Raw genomic sequence first — 10,377 nt, forward strand, 5'->3', positions numbered from 1 at the left:
ACAGATCTCTGTGGCTCCTAAAGAGGAGGAAAGGGGCTGCGAGCAGGTGGAGACAGGGATTGAGGCAGTGTGGAGGCTTCCACTGCAGGGAGCAGAAAACTCAACCCCAATGTCACCAAGGAAAATGTCACATGACAAGAACTCTTGAGGAAGCGCAGCACCAAGGTTGATTAATTTAGCAATTCAGTGACATCATGGTGGGCCCAGGCTCCTTCCATGTTTCAAGTCTGTCCCCCACTCAGTGTGTTAGCTTTGTCCTCGGACTCACACCCCTCATGGTGTGGGTATGGCTGCCAGTGTTCCAAGCATCACATACAAATGACACCATTGAGGGAGAGAGAGAACACCTCTCCCTATGTGTCTTTTTTATCAGTGAGAAACCTTTCCCAAAGCATGCTTCCCCTCACATCTTATTGGCCAGAATTGTGTCACAGGCCTACCTCTAGACCAATCACTGATGAAGAGCCATGTTTGGCTTAGAATAATTAGGATTTACCCTTGAGTCATGGAGTGAGTGTGGACAACAGCAAAACCAAGTCTCACCAGGGAGGAAGACTGACTGGGGGCTGTTGAAGAAGTGGCCAGCCTCCAGGGCAACATAGGTTGGGTCCTTCAGAACCACAGTGTCCCAGGGCCTATGGGACCCAAGCACACTGGATGCAAACAAGGCTGGAAGGCCAACCCTTGTCTGGGTCCTCAGGGTTACATAGCAACACACACCTGAGAACGACTGTTGCTGGGGGAGGGGACCCTGGCTGGGGCCAGGGCTGCAAAGATGAGGGCCAAGGAAGCTATGTGAATCTGGAGTCAGACAGGCTAGGCCCCTGGGGCCCTTTTGGTCTAATGCTGTCCAGCACTGAGTGATGCCTGCTCCTCATTGTGGGCTCTGCAGACATCTGTCAGATGAGGCCCTGCAGGAAAGAATAAATACAGCCCGGCGGGGTTGGCCTCAGCTCAGATGCCTCTCTAGAAAAGCCCAGCTCCACAGGCGTCGGCCTCCTCCCATGCTCGCAGTAAAGACAGGATCTTCATGGGATGGTCAATGAGGGAAAAGTCTGCACCCTCTGGGACAGCATCCACTTCCTGCCAAGGAATCGTCTCATTGTTTTACAGCCCAGAGGCTTCCCTGGGACTTCCCCCAACTATGAGCGAGGCCACATGGGAAGGGGCAGGAATGGGCCCCACCAGGGTTATGTCTCCTCATGTCATTAGCCGCTGCTGATAGAAAGTCAAATGACCCTCGGTAGGAGGTGGCGTGCGGAGGAATATATACGCTGCTTACCTGGGCTGAAATGGGGCTGTTCCTTCCAACCCCTGGCTGCAGCGTCATTTGCTTTTTAAGAGGAGCCCAGGAGGGCCACAGAACCGGCCCCAGACAGGAAATGAACACTGTGGCTTTCAGAGATTTCAGGGTCAGCTCAGGCGGAGGAGTTGTGGAAAGACCTTTTTAACTTTCAAATTAGTTTTCTCATCTATGGGCTCATTTGATTCTCTTCACAGCCCTGGAAGACAGTGGACCCAAAGATATTTACTCATTTGACAGATGAGAGAGCTGAGTGACTTGCTCAAGGTCCCACTTTGGAAGAGTCATAGCTCTGAGATTAGAATCCTCAGAGATCCCTAGGCTGTTCCACTGGACCATTCGTGATGCTCCTTGAGGGGTGAGCAGGCCTCAAAACGGGAGGGGGCTTTCGGAGACCCAGCCCTCCCAAACGAATGCCCAGAAGTCATGAGACCCTTTCTGGAGGCATCCAGCTGTCCTGTAATTGGCTGAAGCTTCATCCGAAAAGCTGGCAGACACGTGTCGGTTGTGACGTGGTGCTTTGAACTTAGTTCCCAATGCCATGTTTGGTATGCTGCAATATTGTGACTGATCTTTAGCAATATAATTGTAGAGGATTGGTGGGGACATGGAGTCACTTGTGCCTGGCAGAGCTGCCCAAACCTTTTCATCAAAAGTGAGGCAGGACTCCACCCAGCTGACCCCATGAATAGAAAGGGCACATTGCCTAACTCTCTGAAACACCCAGAGCCATGAGCCACCCCGCCTGGCCCAGTGGCAGCTGTGTGTCTGCTGAGCCCTCCTGAAGGACGTGTATTTCCCTTGACCACAGAAGGCAAGCCTGTTTCCAGGCATCCTTGGTGCCCAGTTGCTGGAGGCTGCCCCAGTTCCTGACAGAGCTGAGCCAGCCTCGGTTCTGCCATAGGCATGTGCTGGCCACGTCTGGGTGGGTGAGGAAGGCGGCCCTTTGCTTCCTTACTCAGAAACCACTTGCTTCCCCTCCCGACCCCCAGGTCCACATGCCTGGGAAGCTGTGCTGAAGCTGTCCTGGCTTCACTCCCCTCTAAGCCTTTGACTTTGGGAAAGGCTCATCATTCCAAATGGACATAACCTGCTTCTGGTTCCACCTTGAAGCTAGAAATCGAGGCTTCAATTGGCTGTTGTAGCACCTGCAACCAGGAGTCTCCCTGTCCTAGATCCCTCCCTCCAAGGGGCAGGAGGTAGCCCCCAAGGTGCTACGCAAGTAGAGGGTGTGGCTGTCAGACACGGAGGCCCTCCCATGGGCCTGCCGAGAGGAGTTGTATGTACTAGGACACCTTCCAGCTCTTGCCTTCATGGGAGGAGCAGAAATGACTGCTGAAGCCTCCCTTCTCTCCTCCCCTTCCTTTCCCTTTCTTTCTGCAAATGTTCACTTGGCTGTGCCATGCTCACAGCTAGGCTGGGAGGGGAGCAGGGGAGATAGGGGTGTCTCTCAAGGGCTTTGGTCTTCCCTCAATTTCAAGCCCCTTTTTTAAGGCTTGAAAGCTCATCCAAAGCTCACCCCAACCCCATCCTGAGCCTCCTCTGAGGACATGGACCTCCCTGAGCTCTTCAGCTCTTCTGGACCACACCAGAAAAGCCGCTCCCGAGGGGCCTCAGGGGCCTCTCCAGTGCTCCAGCCCAAAGTGCACAAAACCAGCCATGCTGGGCTCCCAGCCCGCTTCACCTGGATCTCCATCCGGGCTCATCCTGGAACCCCGCTTCCCCCACCAACAATCTTCACATCCTGCCGGTTACACCCGGGCGTAGCTCCTGAGCGTGTCCTGTCTCTCTGCTCCCGTGCACCCTCTCCTCTCCAGGATCCCTTTCGCAGCCCCCTCACTGGTGTCTTGCCTCAGCCCTTCCGCTTCCCAGCCCGCTTTTCCCCAGGAGGGAAGATCATTCTGGATGCACACTTGTCTGTCTCTAAGGCCTGTAAGACAAAGTGCAGACACTCCAGCAGGGCTCAGAAGGCCCCGCTTTCCCAGGGAAGAAGCTGATTCATCCCCCCGGCTTCCCTGGTCACAACTGTCCACTCCCTGCACCAAGCCCCACTTTGCACTTCACTTTCCTAACACCTGTAACCTCCTTCTGGCTCCCCTCTCCTCTTCCTGCTCCCCTTTCTCCTTTAACTCAGGCCTCACCTCCTACAGGAAGCCTTCCCAGAACACCTTCCCATATTCTTCCCCCAGCCTGGGTTCGGGGACCCTGCATGGGGTCGCCTCTCTTCTTGCATCTATCACACCACGTTACCTGCATCTGTTTCTGTGTCTGTCCCCCACCTGAGAGTGGGCTCCTAAGGACAGGAGCCATCGAGCTGGTCTTCATAGGTGGGCTCCGCATGCAGACCTGTCAGGTGCCCCCCACCACTGCCCCCGCCCCAGAGAAACAGAGCCAGCAGGAGCCCAGGGAAGATGCAGCAGCAACGAGCTCTGGGAGATGTGGTTCTGGGACAGAAGCCTCTGGCTTGCTGTGTGACCCTAGGCAAACCATATCATCTCTCCAATCCTCTATTGCTTCATCTACCATGCAAGGAAAGGGACAAAACTCTCTGCCCCCTGTCCCCATCTTCAGGTGGGGTGGCAGTGGGGAGCTGGAGACGCATGGGGTCACAGGATTACCAACATTCCCAAACAGGGTGTGTCCCGGAGACACAGAGCAGGGTGGCTTTGCCAGCTGAGGATGAAAACCAGGCGGAAATGAGCTAAAGTAATTCCAGGTGTCGGTTTTCTGTGCAACAGGTGTGACCCGCCTCCGTGGCACCAGGACACACAGTTCTGTTAGCTGAAGCACAGAACACCTTCTCCACTGCATAAGCCACCCCCAAAACACCTATTGCACATCTCTGAGTCTCCTTTTCCTCCCCCTTCTCGTTCTTCACCCCTGTATCCCCAGAGAACCCCTACATCTCCAAACTTCAGACCAAAACTCTCTCTTCTCTGACAGCCTTCCCTGCTCCCTCTTCAAAGTAGATTCTTGGTGCCACTCTGGGCCCCAGCATTTAACAGCTGCCATCCTCCCCAGGGTCAAAGTGCTAATTGGCTACTAAAAGTGACTTCAGTCCATACTCAAAGCTCAGGAAAACGCCCTCTACCCCAGCACACGCGTGCGTGCACACACACGGACCCCAGGCTTGTCTTCTCTTCTGAGCATGGCCACTCTAGTTTGGAGGCTCTATCTTCTGCAACCTGAGTTGGTCCTACCCTCACCCCCACCCCCACCCCGATTCCCAGGCCCAGTCCAGACCCCCAAAATCCCAGGGCCAGCTAGGGGTCCTAGAACTGGCTTTCAGCCTCCAGCGTTCTCTTTCCCCTCTCCAACGCCCTTCTTCTCAGCAGGGACTCCTGTCCTCTCATGGAAATTTGCCGTCCTGTGTCCCATTGCCCAAGAACTTCTCCCAGCTGAAAAAGGAGCCCGTAATAAGTGTTCGGGGTTGAGCAGATCATACATATTTGCAATGCTACCGGAGATGGGGGGAGAAAATGCGTTAGCCCAATGGAATGAATGGCATGGGTGATGTGGCTGAAGGCAGAGAGACTGGGGCAGGGAGGGCAAGGGCCAGCTCCTTCCTTCACCGCCCTCACACCGCCTGTGCCCAGGGCTGGCAGCACCCTGAAGGTGAGGAGAAAGGCCCAGAGCTTTGCCCCCTGATTCCTCCGGCTCCGCCTCACCCCGCCTGCCATCCGTGCATGCAAAGCCAGGCCTCTGGAATTGTGCCGCCAGGCCCCGGGCTGGAAGGGAAAGGGCTGCCAGGGCTCGAGTCCAAGGGAAGCCCACGAGCTTCAAATTTAGAACTTGAGTCTCTCAAGGTCTGAGTCTATTTAGACTCTTAGAAACACAACCTCCGTTCCTCAAACATAACCGGCGAGTGGTGGGTGGGGAGTGCAGGGAGAGAGCATAAAACATCTCATAAAAAGGCTGTGCGTCCTGCTGGACATCAAAGGGCTCTTAAGGAGCGCATGCGGATGAGTTCAGGGTAGAGGAGTCATCAGCATATGGATTAAATTCCCTATTCATTATGCATCCGTCAGAGCGTCAGGAGAAAACTTCACACAGCATGGCCCCAGTTCAACAAGCTGGAAAACGCTCTGAGTCACGGAGGGACCCCAAAGGCAATCAGCCGCTCCCCGCCATCCTGAATCTTCTTCCGCTGTGGAAAAACCTGCGCTAGAGGAAACCGGCTGTGCTAATTCAGACAGGCTGGCCCCACTCACCACGGTCAGCCCCTCCACGCCTCTCCAAGTTCTGCTGCAGCAGGGCCAGCTCACCCAGATATAACTGGGCCCCTCTCCTGCATCTGGCCCCTCCTGGCTCTCCCCACTGCCACCCAGGGCTGTGACCTATTGCCCGTCCCCATCCCCACAACGGCAACCTGTGTCTCCCTGAGAGGACAGGGAGGGCAGAAAGGTGCCCCGGCACCCATCCAGCAGGCCTGTCCCGCCCAGGCAGGGCTTTCTGACTGATGGAGGACCCTGTACATCCCCTCCCTACGCTCATCCCAGCCCACCTCACAGGTCAATCGCCTCTCCCAAATTCATCCCAGCATCCAGGCCTCCCTGAAATCCCCATGCCCCACGAAGCCCAAGGCCTAAAGTGCTCACCCCTCCGCCATCTAGAGTCAGCGGGAGGTTCTGATAACATGTGCTGCATTTAGCCGGAGGACCCAGCAACGCAAGATTCCTGCTTTGCGAATTGCCGCCGCTCCTCCGGGGTCCTGAGGAGATGTGTGCGAAGAAGACCAATAGCAAGGTGGCCACAGGACCCCACTTCAGGAATGGAGGACTTATTTCCCCAGCTGCTAAGATGTCTCCAGCGCCCCCTGCCCTCCTCTTCCTGCAGGCAGAAGAGAGCCCCCTTGCCCAAGAGCACGACCCTTCCTCAGTGGGACCCATCAATGGCTGAGTGATGGCACTGAGGTACAGAGGCTGGGGACACACCTCCAATGCAAATCTCTATCTCAGCTGCTTTCCAGGGAACCCCACCTGTGACATACCAAGCAGGAAACTAATAACCACTTCACTAAAAACTGGCCTCTCGTCCAGTATTGCCCAGTGCAGAGTTCCAGGAAAGCTGAGACAGAGAAAGCACTTTGGTCCTTCCCGGTGGGGAGGCATCCTATCTCCCCACAAACATGAATCCAAATCTCTCTGGCCAGCCATGCCCAAACCCACACACTTTCCATGCAGAGGAACAAAACAAAGTCTGAGAATAAACCCGGACCCTCTTCCCGTGCCAAGAGAGACAGACGATAGCAAAGGAGGCAGCCTATTCACAGCGGGTGGTTTGCATGTACAGGGCCCTGCCTACCAGCAAAGGTGGCCCACTGGTGGGCTTTGCCATCTGACTAGAGCAGGAGCTTCACCTCTCTTGGATATGATGGGTGCACGGAGGGAGCCCAGGGCGAGCCCAGGGCTCACCAAAACCAAGTTCCAGGCCCAGCTTCAGAGAGTATTGTTATGAAGCAGGCATTCGCCGCAGTCCTAGGAACCTTCATTTTCTCAGCTATAAAATGGCAGCATCAATGGCGCCATCCCACTGGTCTCATGAGTTGGGGTGAGGACACGCTGGGAGAGAGTAGTGGAAAGGCTCCCTGCCCTCAAGGGGTGCACACATGCAGAAACCGACTGTTACGATGATGATGAATGGTCTTGCCTTCCCCTCCAGGGTCCCCTTCTCAGGAGGGCCGGGATCAGGCTTCACATCTGGGTTTCCCTCCAGCCAGCAGAACCAGCCTGGACACAGGTGTTCCCTGAAGCTGGCCAGATGATGAACTAACGACTGAAGGAATCAAGAAGACAGATGATGACTCGGCGTGGTGTGGAGCCCAGATCAGCTGTTAGGGACCTTCACACAGCACTCCTCTCCATAATCGTTTCACTACTTTTGTCCTAAAATCCACAGCTTGCGAGTTGGTTTTCTGTATCATTTGTGGCATTAGCCTGAGACTCTGGAAAGGACAGGAAAAGGGAAGCACAGTGATTGCTCACAGGGGCTCTGTGTACTTTACCTCCCAGATGTTCTGCAAAACAGGTGTCACCACTGCAGGGCGGGCACTGCACCCCAGCACACAGCTGAGCTGGGGGTGGGGTCCAGGGCTTGAGCTCAGCCTGCAGTCCACTCCCCAAGCCCTGTGCCCAGAGGATCAATTTTTTCTAATTCATGCAAAGATGCTCTATAGGTTGGCAGTTCCCAGATACCTAACCCCTGTGAGGCATGGTGCCATTTTTCAGAGGGAGAAACTGAGGCTCAGAAAAGTTCACTTGCCCAACCAAGGTCACACCACAGGTGAGTAGTGGAGCCAGGACCTTGGGCAAGTGAATTTCAGGCTGGGCTTGAGCCCTGGCCTCCTGGAGTCAGATAGACTCTACTCCTTATAGAATGTGGGTGTGGACTCCATTTCTTACAGAGTGTGGACACTGTGACCACAGAGTGGCCCCATAAAGTGGCCACCTCTACAGATGTTGGACAGAGGCTTTCTTCACAGGCTGGCTTATGCTCAACCCCACCTTACAATTTGGGCATGCAGATAATTCCTTCCATGATGTGTTAGTTACAGTTCTTCTGATTTCAAGTAATAGAGACCAAACCAGCAAAAGAAAAAAACTTTATTAGAAAGATACTGAGAGGCCTGAAGGAACTCAAAATCCCAGAAGAACAGAATCCAAGATTGTCCAGGACAGTTCGGAGGATCTCAGAGGTGGAAATGGATTGCCTTTCATCCAGAACCCTGGCATGAGCTCCATTTGGCTTTTAGTCCCTCTGTTACAGTTCCAAATTCCTAAGAGAGAGACTCTGCATGTTGGGCAACTTGGGTCAAGTGTCTCCTTCAGTGAATCGTTTCCTGGGGCCAGGTCCCCTGTGGCAGCATGATTGCTCACAGCCCAACACTGTGATCATGGCCAGTTACCATGTGGGGGATGTACACGCCACCCTTAGACCCAGCAAGAGGGGCTGCTTCCCCGGCTCCAGGCTTCAGAGGGCCCTGCATATTATGAACACACACACACACGCACACACACACACACACACACCTTTTTTTTCTTCTTCTTTTTTGATACAGAGTTTCACTCTTGTTGCCCAGGCTGGAGTGCAATGGCACGATCTCGGCTCACTACAACCTCTGCCTCCTGGGTTCAAGCGATTCTTCTGCCTCAGCCTCCCGAGTAGCTGGGATTACAGGCAGGTGCCACCACGTTTGGCTAATTTTGTATTTTTAGTAGAGATGGGGGTTTCTCCTTGTTGGTCAGGCTGGTCTCGAACTCTCAACCTCAGGTGATCCGCCCTCCTCAGCCTCCCAAAGTGCTGGGATTACAGGCATGAGCCAACACGCCCAGCCCCACACACTTCTTAAAAACACGCAGGATCCAGGCCTTGGTGCTGGTAGATAACAAGGGTAAACATCCATTCTCATGAGTGGCACTGCTCAGGCCCCAGGGAAATCCATTTCTATATCTCTTGTTTAATGTCCTCAACACAAAAGGCATCTAAATGCTGGAAAATTTGTGAGTTACACCTCTGCAGATGTCAGGCAGACACTGCTTCCAGAGGGAAGGAGAATTTGCATGGTGGAAGCTCTTCCCTAAGAGAAAATACAAACTGTTTCACTTGTTAAATCCTCTCAGCACCAATGCAATAGATTTTTAATGACTTATGTTTAGTAGCAAAATATTGTTTCCTAGTAACGTTGAGCATCTATTTCCTTCTCTTCCTGTTCCAATTCATGATTCTGAAGGCACCTGATAATTAGCATATCTTTCACAATAGTGGAGTTGATATTTTGCATGAGCAGCTGAGAAATATATTGCAATATTAAACAATTCGTTTTACTCTTCAATTAGTATATATGTAGGTCTACATTAGAAGTAACATGATGAGGCCGGGCGCAGTGGCTCACGCCTGTAATCCCAGTACTTTGGGAGGCTGAGGCGGGCAGATCACGAGGTCAAGAGATCAAGACCATCCTGGCCAATGTGGTAAAACCCCGTCTCTACTAAAAATACAAAAATTAGCTGGGTGTGGCGGCGGGTGCCTGTAGTCTCAGCTACTCAGGAGACTGAGGCAGGAGAATCGCTTGAACCCGGGAGGAGGAGGTTACAGTGAGCCAAGATCGCCACTGTACTCCAGCCAGGCAAAAAAGCGAGACTTTGTCTCAAAAAAAAAAAAAAAAAAAGAAGAAGAAGAAGAATATGATGAAGTGTAATACTAGTGCTTTCTGTTAGTGACTAGATGCATGCAGAATGCCAGAATTGTGGATAATCTTTGTTTTGTAAAATCATTTAATATGATTTTCCTAAATTTTCAAAAAATTAAATTAAAAACTTCAGCTTTATTTAAACAATTGTAAGATTTTGATATCCATTAATTATAATTATATTTTCTTTCAATTGTCACAGAGAATTGTAAATATTTTAAAGAAGATTTTTATTGAAAACATAAATTTTTTAAATGTTTTGATTCTATTTACCATTATTTAGGGTTTTTGATAAAAAATAAATTCAAATTTTGTACATATTAAATGCAATCAACTTTTATTTTTCATCATATAAGCTGGCGTTAGCAAACTTTTTCTTAATGGGCTAGATAATAAATATGGTAGGCAGGCAATATGGTCTCTATTACAAACACTCAACTCTGCCATTGCAGCATAAAAGCAGCCGCAACAAAACATAAGTGATTGTATGCGTCTATGGTCCAATAAGACCTTATTTACAAAACAATTTGTTTGTATCTTGCTTCATGTGTAAAAATTTTTTTGATTTTGAAATTAATAAAAATGTTTGTTAATCAACTATGAACAAAGATAGAATGCCAAATCTGGCTATAGAGTTCACTGAATATTAATATTCAAAGAAGATAAATTTTGATGAAGTCTTTGGCAAACTTGCAGAAGTTAAAGCTCAAAATAAAAATCTGTGATGTTCTTGATTACTGTTACAGACCAATGTTTTTTTAAAAAGATTCTTCCCTTTTTCAAAAAAAATTTGATTTAAAAGTATTAATTCATGATCTGTCTTTTGTACTGCATATTAATTTTACTTCTTATTTTAAGAAAATGTTTAACCAGCATGACATATATA

The 10,377-nt window shown here is 51.1% G+C and overlaps 1 annotated feature.

Moving 5' to 3' along the window:
* Positions 289-789: an enhancer, noted in NCBI's record as "H3K4me1 hESC enhancer chr2:121366968-121367468 (GRCh37/hg19 assembly coordinates)". NCBI's record gives its function as "activates a minimal SCP1, AML or CMV promoter by ChIP-STARR-seq in primed H9 embryonic stem cells {active_cell/tissue: H9 hESC(primed)}" and the evidence as "EXISTENCE:reporter gene assay evidence [ECO:0000049][PMID:30033119]".

Source organism: Homo sapiens, chromosome 2, assembly GCF_000001405.40.
Source record: "Homo sapiens chromosome 2, GRCh38.p14 Primary Assembly".
Lineage (NCBI taxonomy): Eukaryota > Metazoa > Chordata > Mammalia > Primates > Hominidae > Homo > Homo sapiens.